At 47.6% G+C, this 17,442-nt stretch overlaps 1 long non-coding RNA gene across 1 annotated transcript, besides 4 other annotated features; it reads right to left on the reverse strand.

Moving 5' to 3' along the window:
• Positions 1-769, reverse strand: LOC124904925 (uncharacterized). The gene is made up of 2 exons (XR_007067637.1): positions 682-769; positions 1-283 (listed from the first exon to the last, which is right to left on the reverse strand). It is a non-coding gene; the product is annotated as an uncharacterized LOC124904925 (long non-coding RNA).
• Positions 7,938-8,519: an enhancer, noted in NCBI's record as "H3K4me1 hESC enhancer chr20:47934991-47935572 (GRCh37/hg19 assembly coordinates)". NCBI's record gives its function as "activates a minimal SCP1, AML or CMV promoter by ChIP-STARR-seq in primed H9 embryonic stem cells {active_cell/tissue: H9 hESC(primed)}" and the evidence as "EXISTENCE:reporter gene assay evidence [ECO:0000049][PMID:30033119]".
• Positions 8,520-9,101: an enhancer, noted in NCBI's record as "H3K4me1 hESC enhancer chr20:47935573-47936154 (GRCh37/hg19 assembly coordinates)". NCBI's record gives its function as "activates a minimal SCP1, AML or CMV promoter by ChIP-STARR-seq in primed H9 embryonic stem cells {active_cell/tissue: H9 hESC(primed)}" and the evidence as "EXISTENCE:reporter gene assay evidence [ECO:0000049][PMID:30033119]".
• Positions 13,212-13,713: an enhancer, noted in NCBI's record as "H3K27ac hESC enhancer chr20:47940265-47940766 (GRCh37/hg19 assembly coordinates)". NCBI's record gives its function as "activates a minimal SCP1, AML or CMV promoter by ChIP-STARR-seq in primed H9 embryonic stem cells {active_cell/tissue: H9 hESC(primed)}" and the evidence as "EXISTENCE:reporter gene assay evidence [ECO:0000049][PMID:30033119]".
• Positions 13,714-14,213: an enhancer, noted in NCBI's record as "H3K27ac hESC enhancer chr20:47940767-47941266 (GRCh37/hg19 assembly coordinates)". NCBI's record gives its function as "activates a minimal SCP1, AML or CMV promoter by ChIP-STARR-seq in primed H9 embryonic stem cells {active_cell/tissue: H9 hESC(primed)}" and the evidence as "EXISTENCE:reporter gene assay evidence [ECO:0000049][PMID:30033119]".

Genomic DNA, 17,442 nt, shown 5'->3' on the forward strand with positions numbered 1-17,442 from the left:
TGGCTTGAAACAACATTTATTAACTCATGATTTCTGTAGGTTGGGATCCAGGTGTGGCTTAGTTAGGTCCTCTGCTTTGGGGCCTCTCATAGGCCACAGTCCAGGTGTTGGCTGGGGCTGCATTCTCATCTTAAGGCTTGACTGGGGAAGGATCTGCTTAGGGAAGGATTTGCTTCCAAGCTCTCTCTCTTTTTTGTTGGAGGGATTCAGTTCTGAGGGTTCTTGGTTGAGGTCCATTCCTTGCCACATGGGCCTGTCCCTTGGGCAGCTCACAGCATGGCACCTGGTTTTATCAAAGGAGTGAGTGAGTGGGAAAAAGTGAGCAGAAAGGAAGTCATGGTATCTTGTAGCCTCATCATGGAAGTGACATCCCATCATGTTTGCCTTGTTCTATTCATTGGAAGTGAGTCACTAAGTCCAGCCCACACTTCAGGGAAGGAAATTACATAAGTGAAAACAAGTTTGTGAATGCCCAGGTCAGTGGGAGTCATCTGAGAAGCCTGCCTACCACTTAAACTAAGTCTCTTTCTCATGTAGCTTAACTTCTGGTCAGGGGAAGTGCACAAAAAGCAAACAAATAAATAAAAATATAACACATCAGATGATGCTAAAATGCTTGCAGAAAATCATGTGGAGGAGGTTATGGAGGGCTGGGTGCAGGAGGAGACTAAGCATTCTTACTTTATATCAGGTGGTCCGCAGAGACCTGGGTGAGAGGGAGACATCTGAATAGAGAGCTGAAGGAAATGAAACAACAAGCCAAAAGGATACGGGAAAGAGCATTCCAGCAGCAAGAACAGCAGGAGCAAAGGCCCCGCATCACAAACCTGCCTGAAGTGTTCTAAGAACAGCGAAGGTCAGTGTGACTCCAGTGATGATGGCAAGAGAGAGAGTACCAAGTCATGGGGTTAGAGAGATAACAGGGCGGCCGGGCATGGTGGCTCACACCTGTAATCCCACCACTTTGGGAGGCTGAGGTCAGGAGTTTGAGACCAGCCTGGCCAACATGGTGAAACCTGGTCTCTACTAAAAATACAAAAATTAGCCGGGTGTGGTGGCGGGTGCCTGTAGTCCCAGCTACTCGGGAGGCTGAGGCACGAGAATTGCTTGAACCCAAAAGGCGGAGATTACATTGGGTTGAGATCTCGCCACTACACTCCAGCCTGGGTGACACAGAGAGACTCTGTCTCAAAAAAAAAAAAAAAAAAAAAGCGATAACAGGGCGTCGGGTCATGTAGGCCCTTGTAGGGCCACTGAGTGAGATGATGAGAAAACATTAGAAGTTTCTGAGCAGAGAAGGGATGTGATCTGACTTAAATTTAATAGAGTCCCTGGCTGCTGGTTGGAGGACAGACCTTGGGAGACAAAGGTGGAAGAAAACAAATTATGAGGTTTTTTTTTACCTGGTTCAAGTGAGCCATGATGGATATTTGAAGAATTTGCTAAGGGTGACAACACAGAGGAATCCAGGCCAACTACAAGATATTCGGCCTGAGCAACTGGAAAGATAGAGCTGCTAGTAACTGATTTGGGGAAACTTTGTAAGGTGAACATTGACTGGGAGCAAAGGATGAAAGGCCCCTTTATTTTATTTTATTTTATTTTATTTGTATGTGTGTGTGTATGTGTGTTATTTGTTTTGTTTTGTTTTGTTTTTTTGAGACAGGGTCTTTCTCTGTCACTCAGGCTGGAGTGTGGTGGCGCAATCATGGTTCACTGCAGCCTTGACCTCCCAGGCTCAAGAGATCCACCTACCTTAGCCTCCTGAGTAGTTGGGACTATAGATGCATGCCACCACACCTGGTTAATTTTTTAATTTTTTTGTAGAGGCAGGATCTCCCTATGTTGCTCAGGCAGGTCCCAAACTCTTGGCTTGAAGTGATCCTCCCATTTTGGCCTCCCAAAGTGCTGGAATCCCAGGCGTGAACCACCACACCCGGCTGAAAGGTGGCTTTGGCGCTGCTAACATCAAGGTCCCTGTGAGACATCCGAGCAGAGATGCCAAGTTGGCAGTTGGAGACTAGAGTCTAGACTTCACGGGAGAGGTCCAGGCTGGGGATGTAAACTCAGAAGTTGTCAGTTTATTAGTGTTTAGAGCCATGAGTCTGGATGAGATGGGAGAGAGAGAAGAGGCCCAAGCCTGAGCTTTGGGCACTTGATTAATTCAAAGCCACAAGATGAGGAAGAACCACCTGAAAAGACTAAGAAGTTGTGGACAGTGAGGTAGGAAGAGAACTAAGAGAAGAAAGTGCTGAATGACAAGCAGCATCATGGTAGCTGGCCATGGGAAATGGCCCGCCAAAAACTGCACACTGCGGTTCACACTCTTGCTCGGCCCCAGCCACTTTCCTCTGGGCTGTCACCATAGAACTAACAAAAAGCAGCAGAAGTGGCAGCCTGCCTTCTGAGGCCAGGTCACAGGAAATCTTGCAGCTTCTACCTTAGTGTTTTTGAATGCTGCTCTGGGATAAGCCAGTTGCCATCAAAGAAGTTTGACTACTCTGAGCCACCACGATGTGAGGAAGCCCAAGCTAAGCATGTGGGAAGCCCAGGATGGAGGGAAAAGATGGCCAACCAGGGCCATGGTTGTTCCAGCCATCTCAGCTGAGGCACCAGCCACAGGAGTGAAGAATTTGTTTTAGACATCCAGTCCAATCAAACCTTGCCATGACTTTGGCTACAGCTGCACCAGCATGAGAAACCCTGAGGGAGAAACCCACAGGACTAGGAGAGACAGTGACACACTGTCATTTTAAGGCTCTATATTCTGGGATGGCTCATTCTACAGTGGATAATGGAGACAGGAGTTCATTGCAAAGGGAGACTGACCAGTCCCCTGCCCGCAACAGAGCACAGCCCTCTTCACCCAGACCCATGGAGAGGTGGCTGAGCAGACCTCAGCTGGGCAGCCCTCCACACTCTGAAGGCTCCCCCTTTCCTGCCTTAGTGGCAAGAATAATAATTTTCTCTTTGTGCCCAGAGAGCTGGCAACTGCCAAGTGCCCTGCTGTCCCCAGGGCCCTTACAAAAAGACTGCAGGGGAGGTTTTTCTGAGAACTGGGTCACCGGTTACTTAGATGCTTCAAACCTGGCAGAACAGAGAAACATCAGATAAAGGAGACTGGGAACTTCATAGGAAGCTGCTGGTCCTTGTCATGGGGACACACCATGACAAGCCACCAGAGAGTGGCTGCCTGCCCTCTCTGGACCCTTATGTCATAGGGACCTCCTCTCTTCTAGAGAGCTCTCTCTTTCTTTGTAAATGTTTGTAAATCTTTCTTTGTAAACATTTTGGAAAGTATGCATTAATCAGGCCAGACACGATGGCTCACGCATTTAATCCCAGCACTTTGGGAGGCCGAGGCGGGCAGATCACTCGAGGTCAGGAGTTCAAGACCAGCTTGGCCAACATGGTGAAACCCTATCTCTACTAAAAATAGAAAAATTAGCTGGGCATGGTGGTGGGCATCTGTAATCCCAGCTACTCGGGAGGGTGAGGCAGGAGAATCACTTGAACCCAGGAGAAAGAGGTTGCAGTGAGCTGAGATCACATCTGTAATCCCAGCACTTTGGGAGTCTGAGGTGGGCAGATCACTTGAGGCCAGGAGTTCGAGACCAGCCTGGCAAACATGGTGAAACCCTATCTCTACAAAAAATACAAAAATTAGCTGGATGTGGTGGCACATGGCTGTAGTCCCAGCTACTGGAGAAGCTGAAGTGGGAGGATCACCTGAGCCTGGGAGGTCCAGGCTGCAGTGAGCCGTGATTGTGCCACTACACTCCAGCCTGAGTGACAGAGTGAGACCTTGTCTTGAACAAAACAAAACAAAACAAAACAAAACAGAAAAAAACCTGTCCTTTTCTCCCACTGCCTGTTCAGTTCCCCAGAGGCAATTGCTTAACATTTCTTTCACATTTATTGGAATAGGTAACACAAGGCGTGTGCTAAAAATTTCAAAAGGTACAAAAAAGGTAAAGAGATTAAGTCTCCCTCCTTCCTTCTCCCCACCCAGCTCCTCTCCCTAAAGACAACCACTTCTACCAGTGTATTACATCTCCTTCCAGAGATATGCTATGCATATGTCAGCATATAATATAAACAGCCTTAAAAAATAAAACAGGGCTGGGAATGGTGGTTCATGCCTGTAATCCCAGCACTTTGGGAGGCCACGGTGGGTGCATCACCTGAGGTCAGGAGTTCAAGACCAGCCTGACCAACATGGTGAAACGCTTGTCTCTACTAAAAATACAAAATTAGCTGGGCGTGGTGGCTCATGCCTGTAATCCCACCTACTTGGGAGGCTGAGGCAGGAGAATTGCTTGAACTTGGGAGGCGGAGGTTGCAGTGAGCTGAGGTTGTGCCATTGCACTCTAGCCTGGGCAACAAGAGGAAAACACCGTCTCAAAAACAACCACCACCACCAACCCAGAAAGGGTAACTTGCTACAAATGCTGTTCTGCACCTTGCTTTTCCACTTAACCATATATTTTGAAGGTCTTCCATATCAGTAGGTAAATAACTGCTTTATTATTTTAGGGGACTGCACAATATTCCACTGTAGGGATGGACCGTAATTCATGTAACCAGCCCCTACTGAGGGACACTGAGGTTGATGCCAACCTTTTGATATTACAGTGAAACAGCAAATAATCTTGTACTCATGTTTTCTTGCACATGTATGCCTCTCTCAGTAAAGATTCCTGAATCAAAAGACGTGTGCTTTTGTCATTTTTTAAAATTTTTATTTATTCATTTATTTTTGAGACAGGGTCTCGCTCTGTCACCCAGGCTGGATTGCAGTGGCACGATCATGGCTCACTGTAGCTTGACTTCCCGGGCTGAAGTGATCCTCCTGTCTCAGCCTCCTGAGTAGCTGGGACCACAGGTGTGTGCCCCCATGCCTGGCTAATATTTAAATTTTATTTTTAGTAGAGACAGGGTCTTCCTATGTTGCCCAGGCTGGTCTCAAACGTCTGGGCTCAAGCAATCCTCCCGCCTCAGCCTCCCAAAATACTGGAATCCCAGTATTATAGGCTGTGCTTTTGTACTTTTAATAGGTATTGACAAAATGAGACTGTATTGATGTTCTTGTTTGCAGACTTCATACTTAAGTGCCCCTTTCCCTACACCTTCCCCAATTCTATTCAAATAAAAATCAACATCTTTAATCTGTGCTGTAGAATTGGTAAGAAATGTATCTCTGCACTTTTACATTTGAAATATATTGTTAGAAGGTTGAGCATCTTCATATGCTTAATTGTCATGGCAACCACTTCTAGCCTGTGTAGCGATTTCTTCTAGTTGTTTATTTCCATAGAGCTAAATAATGTTTGAATGTAGCCATTCATTGATTTATCAGCTTTAGGTGTTATCTATTGATTTTTGCTCCAATACATGAGGATTTAGCTCACTTACAGTGTCATCCTTGCACCTCCTCTATCTTTCTACCCTTCCTTCCTTCTCTCTTTTTTATTTTTATTTTTTTTTTGAGACGGAGTCTTGCTTGTTGCCCAGGGTAGAGTGCAGTGGCACAATCTTGGTTCACTGCAACCTCTGCCTCCCAGGTTCAAGTGATTCTCCTACCACAGCCTCCCAAGTAGTTGGGATTACAGGCGCCCACTGCCAAGCCCAGCTAATTTTTGTATTTTTAGTAAAGATGGGGTTTCACCACATTGGTCAGGCTGGTCTTGAACTCCTGACCTCAGGTGATGCACCCACCTCGTCCTCCCAAAGTGCTGGGATTACAGGCGTGAGCCACCGTGCCTGGTCTCTTCTCTTTATGAAAAATATTGCTGGTTTTCCATTTATAGTAGTGATATATTTTTTTCCTTTCCTTTTCTTATTAAAATAGACTATTTTTTAGAGAAGTTTTTGGTTCACGGCAAAATTGAACAGAAAGTACAGAGTTCTCATATATTCCCTGCTCCTCCCACCCCTCAGTTTTTCCCACTACCAAGGTCCTACACCAGTGGTACATTTGTTACAATCGATGAACCTGCACTGATACATCCTTATCATCCAAAGCCCATAGTTTGCCTTAGGGTTCACTCTTGGTGCTGCACATTCTATGGGTTTGGACAAATGTACAATGACATGTATCCACCATTATAGTATCATGCAGAATAGTTTAACTGCCCTAAAAATCCTCTGTGCTCCACCTATTCATCCCTCCCTCCAGCCTAACCCCAGGAAACCACTGATAATTTTACTGTCTTCATGGTTTTGCTTTTTCCACAATGTCATGTAGTTGGAATCATACAGTATGTAGTCTTTTTCAGATTGTCTTCTTTCAGTTAATAAAATGCACTTAAGTTTCTTCCACGTCTTTTTGTGGCTTGATAGCTTATTTCTTTTTAGTGCTGAATAATATTCCATTGCCTGGATTTACCACAGTATATTTATCCATTCACCTCCTGAAGGAAATCGTGGTTGCTCCCAAGTTTGGGGAATCATTAATAAAACTTCTAGGAACATCTGTGTGCAGGTCTTTGTGTGGACATAAATTTTCAGCTCATTTGGGTAAATACCAAGGAGCATGAATATTGGATCATATGGTAAGTGTACATTTCATTTTGTAAGAAACTGCCAAACTGTCTCCCACAATGGCTATACCATTTTGTTTTCCTACCAGAAATGAAAAAGAGTTCCCGTTGCTCCACGTCCTCACCAGCGTTTAGGATTTTAATCCTTTGAATAGGCATGTAGTGTTATCTCATTAGTATTTTCATTTGCAATCTCCTAACGACAGGTGATGTTGAGCATCATTTCATATGTTTATTTGCCATCTGTATATCTTCTTTGGTTGAGGTATCTGCTTAGTTCTTTTGCCTATTTTTTTTTTTTTTTTTTTTGAGACGGCGTTTTGCTCTTGTTGCCCAGGCTGGAGCGCAATGGTGCAATCTTGGCTCACTGCTACCTCCCCCTCCTGGGTTCAAGGGATTCTCCTGCCTCAGCCTCCTGAGTAGCTGGGATTACAGGTACCCGCCACCACACTTGGCTAATTTTTTGTATTTTTAGTAGAGATGGGGTTTCACCATGTTGGTCAGGCTGGTCTCGAACTCCTGACCTCAGGTGATCCACCCGCCTCGGCCTCCCAAAGTGCTGGGATTTTACAGACCTGAGCCATGGTGCCTGGCCTCTTTTGCCAATTTTTTAATGAGGTCTTTTGTCTTCTTGTTATTGAGTTCTAAAAGTTCTTTATATATTTTGGACAGCAGTTCTTTATCAGGTGTGTCTTTTGCAAATAATTTTTCCCATTCTGTGGGTTTGGTGGGTTTGTCTTCTCATTCTCTTGAGTGATGTGGCATTTAAAAAAATAAAATTACTTTAAGTTTAAAAAGCAAGTCCATTTAAAGAGAAACACCCAGGAAATAATAGCCAAGGTGGTAGAATATGGTGAAAAAATGAAAGGGCACCCAAGAGCCTCAGGTTTGGGCAATACTGATGACACATAGAGCCTGGTTCCCTGGCAATTATTATGGCGGTTACTACTATTTTAATAATATTAGCAGTTACGGTTGGTATTTTTGCTATTACAATTAATGGCATAGGGGCTGTATCGCCCCTGTCTTCCTGGAACCTGGAGGCAATGAGGAGCTCTGCAAAGTTGTTGAGATTATTATGACCATATCTGGGTATTTCACCACTACAAAGAGCTGCGCAAAGTTTGGACGGTAGGAATCGGGGTGGACATCAGCTCGGTGACAGGTAGGAGGTGGGTCCGAGGAGGGGTCGGGTCTGGGAGCCTCCGCCCCCAACTCAAGGCAGGCTACACAAGATCTGTCTCCGTTGGCGTCCCGGTACCTAGCTTGAGCCCGACCATGGGCATGCGTGGCGTGGCGCGAATCCTGTCCCTGTCGCTCGTCCTGGCCGCGGTGGCCACGGGGGCCTGGGAGCGGGGGCCGCTGGGCGTGCTCTTGCCCTGGCAGGGCTCCGCCGCGCTGGGCCGCTGCTGTCCTGGCCGTGACCCGATGTTTGTCGCCCGCGGGCCCCCGCGCTGCTTCTGCGACCAAGCGTGCGGCGCGGCGCGGCGCGGGACTGCTGCGCAGACTATACGCGGGTCTGCCCAGGTGCACCCGGGGAAAGGCAAGGCACTAGCGGAACGCTCGGAGCGGAGGGGAGCTGGGGCGGGGGATGAGCGGAGGAAGGGAGCCCAGCACCTAGGGGGCTCTGGGCTTGGAGGGGTCACACGAGCCGAGGGCGGGGCGCGGCGCTTGGGGACTGGAAGGGTGCGCCGCGGGGCAGACGGGACGTGCAGGGGGTCGCGCGGGCAAGGAGGGACGCAGACACTCAGGACCTAAAGGGGAAGCACTGGCTGTGGAGCTGCGAGCCGAGAAAGACGCGCAGGTTATGAACCTGGGTGCGTTCATCTCGGGGGACCTGAAGGAGAGGGACTCGTGGAGAGTTGAGGGGTGTTTCGGAGGAGGGGCGCAAGGACTGCTCACAGGACTTGAAGGGCGGCAGGAAGGTGGAGGATTCGGCCCAGGTGCGGGACGCAGGCGGTGGAAGGGAAATGAGCACAAGAGGCGCAGGCAGGAAGGAGAGCGCCTGGTGCGAGAGAGGAAGGAGCGCACCCAGTAAGCGGTGTCGGGGGGGTCGTGAAGCTTGGAGGGCCTCGAGGGGAGGGAGGCGCTTGGGTTGAGGTAGGGCGCCAGATTTCGCAAATCAAAATACAGCACACCCAGTTAAACTCGAATTTCAGATAAACAAATCTTTCTAGAGAAAAATATGTCCTAAATATCGCATGGGATATACTTATACTAAAAAATTATTTGTTGTTTTTCTGAAATTGAAATCTAACTCGGAGTCCTGTATTTTATCTGAGAGCCCCAGCTGGGGACGGGCGCGGGGCCAAGAGAGCTGCGAGGGAGGAGGGGTTGCAAGCTTCTTTCGGGCGGAGGGGTCACAAGGCGAATGGAGAAGGTGACAAGGAGCATGGAGAAACCAAGAAAAGGGCTAACGCTTGGAGAGCAAGGATGGAAAGACGCTCAAAGCGGAGGCGGAACGGTCTGAGTGATTCCAAAACTAGTGTGTCCAAGCTGGTTAGAACTCAGGCAGGCGGGTCCAGAAGCCGAGGGGCCTGACAGATACGCAGGTGAAGTCCATCTGTGGTCCGCGTGCTGGGCGTGGCCACCGGGCTAGTCCAAGCATTCCTGGTAAAGGCTCCTCCAGAGTGGTACCCACAGCGCTCTATTAAGGGCTATTTTAGTTGAGTCATTAGTGGGAAGGACGCTGCCTATCCCCTCCCCCCCCGCCACCCCACTCCCTTCTTCTAGAGATGGAGCCTTGCTCTGTCGCCCAGGCTGGAGTGCCGTGGTGCGATCATCATTCACTGCAGCCTCGAACTCCTGGGCTCAAGCGATTCTTCTGCCTCAGCCTCCCAAGTAGCTGGATGACAGGCACGCACCACCATGTCTGGCTCTCTATCCTTTTTAAATCCCAGAAGTAAAGTTTTCACACCCACTGGAGACAAAAAAAAAATCTAAATTCTGTCACCCTGTAAAACGGTTATGACCCAACTTTCCTATGTCAGGGAGGAAAGTGATTGATTGGGCCCCTCTACCGTGTGATATCACTAGAGCTTCCTTCAGAAATTTGTTTTAAAAGACAGAGAGGGCGCTTTTAAAAAAATGCATAATGGGTCGGGCACAGTGGCTCATGCTTGTAATCCCAACACTTGGGGAGGCTGTGGGAGGATCATTTGAGGCCAGGAGTTCGAGACCAGCCTGGGCAATATTGGAAGACCCAGTCTCTACAAAAAATTAAAAAAAAATTAGCCTCAAATGGTGATGACTGCCTGTAGCACCAGCTACTCAGGAGACTGAGGTGGGAGAATCACTTGAGCCCAGGAGGTTGAGCCTGCAGTGAGCTATGATTATGCCACTGCACTCCAGCCTGGGTGACAGAGCGAGATCATGTCTCAAAAATAAATAAATAAATAAATAAATAAATAAAAATGTAAGGGACCTAACATCCATTAATCACCTATCCCTCTGTGCCCAGAAGCTGGGCTGGATGTCCCCTGGAACCTGAATACATTCTCCCTGCCCTCTGGGGTTCAGGTATGGAATAACATCCCTGTTTAGCAGTCAAGAAAAGCAAGGCTCAGAGAGGAGAGGGCTTTGGGCAGTCAAGAATTCCCAGCCAGTGGAGGAGCTGGGTCTGATTCTGAGTCTTCTAGCTCCTTGCTGCCAGGAGTGGCCAACGTTGGAAATTCAGGCAGCAGTGAGATGAGAAAGTAATTTTGGATGTGGTGTCTTCTCAAGCCATAGGCAAAAGAGAACTCCTTCCAGATTAAATTTGGGGAAGGACTGCCTGGGGGTGCTTTTGTACTGGTTGGTTTTCTGTGTAGAGAGTTCATGCAGCCGCGGGTCTGTACTGATTGGAGCTGAAGTCCCAGGTTAGCACCACCAACAGGGGCTCCCCTGCCACAGCGCAGGAGTGGGGGCCCAGGATGGGTCCAGGCAAAGGCATCAGTGATACTTTCTCATGGTCTGACCGACACCCACAGAATCACACAATGTTAGCCCCTCCCAAGAGATGTCCTTTCTATACGGAGTGGGGGCTGGAGGAACCAGGAGCCTCAAAGCTTTGCTTTCACCTTTGTTTTGCTCTTTTGGGATCTGCCTCCTTATCTGGAGCAGGGTCTTGTGAAGAGACGCAGGGAAAAGTTCACTTTCCACCTCCCAGGGGAGCAGGCAGGAGGGGACTAGTTAGGAGGCAAAAGATGTAGAGAAGTATTTGCTTTTTTCATGGGCTATTTTTAGGAGATAAAGTCAACTGCCTTAAGTGATCAATTGTAATAGAGGGAGATGTTGAAGATGACTTAAAAAACAAACAAAATCCGCAAACAACAAATCTAATATTTATGAAATACCAAATGTCAGGAAGGTACTATTTTAAGTGCTTGAAGTAAATTGTCTCATTTAAGCCTCATAATAACGCTATGGAACAGTGTTATCATGTCTGTTTTACAGATGAGGAACTAAGGCACAGAGAGGTTAAGTGACGTGTTCTGGGTTGCACAGCTCTTAAACAGCAGATCTGGGATTTGCACTCCAGCAGTCTGACTCCAGATCTCAATATTGTATAGCAGCTCAAGGGTGGCAGAGACTCAAGAATGTTAGGAGAGGGAAGCTTGAGTCTACAGGTGTAAGGAGACCCCTTGACATCTTCCCCATTTAGTTCAATTAAAATTTTCTTTTTTTTTCTTTTTCTTTCTTTCCTTCCTTCTCTCTTTTCTTTTCTTTTTCTCTCTCTCTTTCTTCCTTCCTTTCTTTTTATTTTTCAGGGTTTCACTGTGTCACCCAGGCTGGAGTGCAGTGGTGCAATCATGGCTCACTGCAACCTCTGCCTCCCAGGCTCAAGTGATCCTCCTACCTCAGTCTCCTGAGTAGCTGGGACTACAGGTGTGGGCCACCACACCCAGCTTTTTTTTTTTTTTTTTTTTTTTTTTTTTGTATTTTTTGTAGAGATGGAGTTTTACCATCTTTTCCAGGCTGGTCTCAAACTCCTGGGCTCAAGCTATCCTCCAGCCTTGGCCTCCCAAAGTGCTGGAATTACCAGTGTGAGCCTCCACACCCAGCCTCAATTACAATTGGTGGCCACCTTCTGTGTGCCCAATTCAGCTAGAAGCACTGGGGGATGGAAGCAAGGCTGGAGTTCTGGTACCCCTCAAGCTTATTGTCTATTTTTGGGAGACAAGGTAGTTGGGAAAGGAATAAATAATTTCAGTCTGAGCAAGGTGAAGCTTGGAAATGATTGGTGAGGATGGTGTGGAGGCAGGGAGAGAGTGGGGCTGGAGTGATTAGTAAGGCCTTGAAAGATAGACACCACTGTATTTTCCAAGTTATTTACAGAATGTTTCCATGTATTCTATACTTCTTAAATATCATCTCAACCCTGTATGGTTGATGTCCCTACATATACACTTATGTGTTTCCTGTAGACTTAGTACTCTTAGGGTTGTGACACAATTTAACTTAAGTTAACAAGGATATTTATTGGCTTAGGTAACTAAAGAACAACCCAGGGATTCCAGAGCTTCAGGCATGACTGGATCCAGGGGCTCCAAGGATGTCATCAGGACTCTATCTCTTTCCATTCTTCGGCTTTTCTTGTGTTAACTTCATTTACAGGCATGCTGTCACCAAGTGGTAGCAAAGCTAGTGGTCAAAGACAGTAGCTGTAAACTGCCATCCTTAATGGATTGAGAGCATTTTTCCCCAGTTCCAGCCAAAATCCCAGGGCTGGTTCTCATGGGCTCAGTTTGGATTAAATGGTCATTGCTGACCCAATCAATCACTGAACCCAGGGAGAAGGAATATATCAACTGGCCATGTGGGGGTCACCTGCCTCATACCAGGAACGAGAGGGTGCGATCAGCCCTGTCCAAACCATGTGGATTGAGAGTGGGGAGTTTTGGTTTCTCAGAAGAAAACTGAGGTGGTATTCCCAGAAGATGGGGGAAAGGAGGCTGGGAGGGTACTACTCAGCTGTGGGAGACCACGTGCTTTGGGAAACTTTGGGTAAAGTGTGCTGAGATGTTGAATAGGAGGAGGGCACGGTAAATGACTGTGGATGAGTTGCAGGAAAATGTAGATTTTTAGCCACTGAGCTTGGGGGTCTCCATCTATGATCCACTGTCAAAAAAGATCCTTCGTGAACCCCCTCAATAGGAGATGGGAACCACTGAGGGATTTCAGGGAACAGGCCAGAACTGTATTCTAGAAAATCCTTTTGGTAGACAATAAGGAGGGCAGATGGTAAGGAGGCTGGGCAGTGTGGTTCAGAGGAGAAAGCGGGGTTTGGATAATGCAGAAAGACATTCCTTGGCTGGGCCCCGTGGCTCATGCCAGCATTTTGAGAGGCTGAGGTGGGTGGATCACAAGGTCAGGAGTTTGAGACCAGCCTGGCCAACATAGTGAAACCCTGTCTCTACTAAAAATACAAAAATTAGCTGGGTGTGGTGGCACGTGCCTATAGTCCCAGCTACTCCGGAGGCTGAGGCAGGAGGATCGTTTGAACCTGGGAGGCGGAGGTTGCAGGGAGCCGAGATGGTGCCACTGCACTCCAGCCTGGGCGACAGAGAGAGACTCCATCTTAAAAAAAAAAAAAAAAAAAAAAAAAGGTGTTCCTTCATGAGCCTGGGCCTGTAAGGGTGGGGTGAAGCGATTCTAAGGGGTCTGTGGGAAATGTGGTCTGGCCATGGCAGGCTCAGCTGGCACGATGTCATCTGGGTATCCAGGACTCAGTGAGCAGCCTTACCACCGCCCTACCCCTTTCTGTAAGGCTGGGAAGCTAGAATTTCTTCTTTGGTCAGGAAAAGTGGGCTGGGCTTTGCTTTGAGAAACACTGCTATCTGGTGTTGCCTTTTTGCAATGTCAGCCTGTGGTTATATTTCCTTTGTTGTTGCTAAGGCAAGATTTGCTCACTCATTGTTCAGTGGCACATCACTTCCTGAGTTGCTGTGTGCCAGGCCCTGTGCTTGGTGATGGGATACAGCAGGGAACATGACAAATGAGGACCCTATTGTTGTGGAGCTGACACTCTAATGGAGGAGGCAGACACTACGAGAATAACCACAGATGTACTGAGTTTGTGATCCTGGGCCTATGCGAGGGGTGATGATGGTTCCCTCTTGTGTGCGTGCTGCCAGTGAGACGGGTAGAACACGTGCAGGGTGGTGCCTGCCTAATTTTCCGCAAAATCTCTCACCTGCCTGGCAGGCAGGGCAGGAGATCGTGGTGGACTTTGGGGATACCCCTTGGTCCAGCTGTCCAGCCAGTGCCTGAATCTGGTCTGCAGTCTTCCTGCCAGGTTTTTTAGCCACATTGTGAACACTTTCAGTGACACAAAACTCATTCTTCTAGCAGCTTCTTCTACTGTAGATAATCCTTTCTCTCCTGGGAAACCGCAGGAGCCATCATGCTTCTGCCCTCACCCCCACCCAGAGAGATGGGCAGTCATCCTTTTGAAACCTTTGGTATCACCACGTCACATCTCTGCTCAGAACTCGGCAATGGCTTTTCGTCATGCCTAGAATAAAATCTGAACTCCTTACAACAGTCCTCAAGGCCCTATATGCTATCTTTGTCCCCTCCCTCTCTGATGTCACCTCCTACCACTTTTCCTCTGGCTTATTTTCCTGCAGCGACACTGGCCTCCTCACTGTCCCTCTGATATCCTACCTTTACCCTGCCTCAGCGACTTTGCACTGCCTGTTTTGTGCCTGGAATACAGTTCCCTTCCTACACAGTTCCCTTCATCACTTTCTTGGGGGCTCTGTTCAGATGTCCTTGTCTTGGAGGACTTCCTTGACTCCTGCCTAAAATAGTTTCTTGTTACACCACCCTTGGCACTCTTTCTTTTTTTCCCTGCCTCTCTCTCAACCCTGGCCACTCTTGACCTGCTGTTTTTTCTCAAAGCACAGATCACTAGTTGAAATTACATGGTTGCATGTTATTGTTTATTGTCTGTTTCCCCCACTGAATGTCAGCTCCTTGAGGGCAGGGCTGTACCTGTTTTGGTCATCTGTGTTCCCAGCACCCAGCCCAGTGCTCTGCACACAGTAGGTCCTAAATTGTTGTTGAACGAATGCATAAAGACCATTGAACTGGGCATTTACAGTATGGCCAGTGCTTTGCATTCGCCATTGCAACAAACCCGAGACTGTGGTTCAAATCCAGGTTTGTCTGACTCTACATCCTTGGCTCAACTTAGGGATTCTGCCTCTTAAGCCCCAGTGGCCTCATCTCTGAGCTGGGTTTGACAATAGTGCAAACACATTAGGAGTTGGGGACCTGGCAAGTGACAGATGGTACCCCCAGAAGGGTATAATAGAAAACAAGGGCTCTATTCACAGAGGTGGGGGCAGCAGTACAGGACAGGAGGAAATGGTGTTATTGGAGCCTGTGAGAGTAGGATCTGCAGCCAAGGGCCCCCTTCCCCAAAATGGGGGACAATAAACACCTTGGGTGCACTCTCCTCCTGCCCTCTGCTCCTCTCATCCCCGCTGGTGTTCCCCACTGGTTCAACTCTACTGGCAGCCAGGGAGAGGCTGGGAGATGCACAGGCTTGCTGGGGGTTGAGTATGGAGAGGGAGTACAGAGTTTCAGGAGACTGTTGTGAGGATTAAATGAAGTCATGTATGGGACTTGCTTGGTTTAGCATCCAAAGCACAATGAACGGGGTTATTAGATGGATGATGAAAGCACTTGATCAGTCTTAGGTTGCCACACTGGGTGTCTCCCCTCCCTCCTCCTTCTTGCCCTCCCTCTTTCTGTTTCCTTTCTTCTCTTGTTTACCTTCCTTTCTTTCTTTTTCCTTCCTTCCCTCTGAGCTTTTCAACTCTGCTAAGATGGGCAGATTGAAGGATTGTTTGCTCCAAGAAAAAAATTTTAAACCTCTGAGATTTATGCAAAGAATATGTGACTTCCTGACCTTCCAGAGGCACTGCTGCTTGTCTTTGGCACAATAACGCCATTCCTTCATCAAGGATGCACATGATTTTTTCCCTCTTCACATTTTCACGTTGCTGAATTAGGACATGTCTCATAGCTGGGAGGGCTTTTCCTGAAGACAGACCTCATCTTTCTTGTTAAACGCTGTGTCTCCAGCACCCAAGACAGTTCTGGGCTCGCTGCAGATGCTTGGTAAATATTTGGGGTATGAGTGAATTAATTCTGACAGTGGTGGCCGCCTTGCATGTGCAGCAAATGTGTGTGTGTGCCGCTGACAAAACTTGCTGGCACATCCGTAGAAAGTCTCTCGCTGGGGAAGTGCCCAGATTCCGTTTCTGCTAGACTGCCTTTCCCTGTCTGATTTGCTCTGGTCCTGATCTGGGAGTGTGGACTTGGAATGAAGAAGTGTCGGTCCCAGCGGGGACATCATTAGAAATACCACCTGTGGTAGACATGTGAAGCACCTCAAGGATGGGGGAACCCAGCACGTTCCTTTTGTGATGATGAAATATTTCCGACATACACCACCAATGTAGAGAGATAATACAACAAACCCTCGGGAAAAGCTAAGAAACAAACCTTGACAATTGCCACTGCAGTGTCTGTTTCCCTCCTGTAGTCACCTGCTGTCCCACTCTCCCCAGAGATTGTCACAATGCTGAATTTGACATTTAAAATTCCCATGCATATATGGGGGTATGTGTGTGTTTATGTACATAAACATACACTGTACATTCTTTTTTTTTTTTTTGAAACAGAATCTCGATCCGTCGCCCAGGCTGGAATGCAGTGGCACAGTCTTGGCTCACTGCAACCTCTACCTCCCAGGCTCAAGTGATCCTTCTGCCTCACTTTCCCTAGTAGCTGGGACTACAGGCGTGCACCACCATACCTGGCTAGTCTTTGTATTTTTCTTTTTTGGTAGAGATGGGATTTCACCATGTTGCCCAGGCTGGTCTGAAACTCCTGGGCTCAAGCGATCCTCCTGCCTTGGCCTCCCAAAGTGCTGGGATTACAGGTGTGAGTAATAGCGCCTGGCTACAGGACTTTCTTGTGATTCACAGTAGTTATGTTCTGTAAAGTTGCCACAAAGACTGAATTAACCAATACTGAATTAACCAATGGCCCCTAGGGGAAATATGTACACACATATCTCACTTAGTTTATACTTTAGATCCTAAAAACAACTCATCCTGGTCAATTCCATTTTCTTCATTTTACCAAAGAGTGTTAGGAAGTGTTAAGAGACTCGCCCGAGGCTGCCTCCCTAACAGTTGCTGGAGTTGGGATTCAAACCCCATCCAACTGGCCCAGGGCTGGAGCTTCTTGCACTACATAGACCTGTCCCTACTGTCTCTGTCCTCTGGTAACATCTGTATGAAGCTGGAACAAGAAGACAGAGTGGGGCCCTGTTTAACTTCAGCTTGGAACCTGCACATTGAGTTACTCAAATTTTTCACTAATCTTCGCTTGTCTGTGAGTAACTATAAATGTGCTGCAAGTATTGATTTTAGGGTTAAAAATAATTTCAGCAAATAAGCAAAGTAGCAAATACAGAATCTGTAAATCATGAGGACTGGCTGCATATATATGTATTTACTATGCCTGTATGAATGCCTAAATACTTTATAGTACCGTTTTGCAGTTTTAAAAAACTATATAGGCCAGGCGCAGTGGCTCACGCCTGTAATCCCAGCACTTTGGGAGGCCGAGGTGGGCAGATCACTTGAGGTGAGGAGTTTGAGATCAGTCTGGCTAGCATGGAGAAACGCTTTCTCTGCTAAAAATACAAAAAATTAGCCAGGCATGGTGGTGGGTGCCTGTAATCCCAGCTTCTCAGGAGGCTGAGGCAGGAGAATCGCTTGAACCTGGGAGGCAGAGGTAGCAGTGAGCCGAGATCACACCACTGCACTTCAGCCTGGGCAACAGAGCTAGACACCGTCTCAAACAAACAAACAAACAAACAAACAAGACTGTATAT

Source organism: Homo sapiens, chromosome 20 (assembly GCF_000001405.40).
Source record: "Homo sapiens chromosome 20, GRCh38.p14 Primary Assembly".
Classification (NCBI taxonomy): domain Eukaryota; kingdom Metazoa; phylum Chordata; class Mammalia; order Primates; family Hominidae; genus Homo; species Homo sapiens.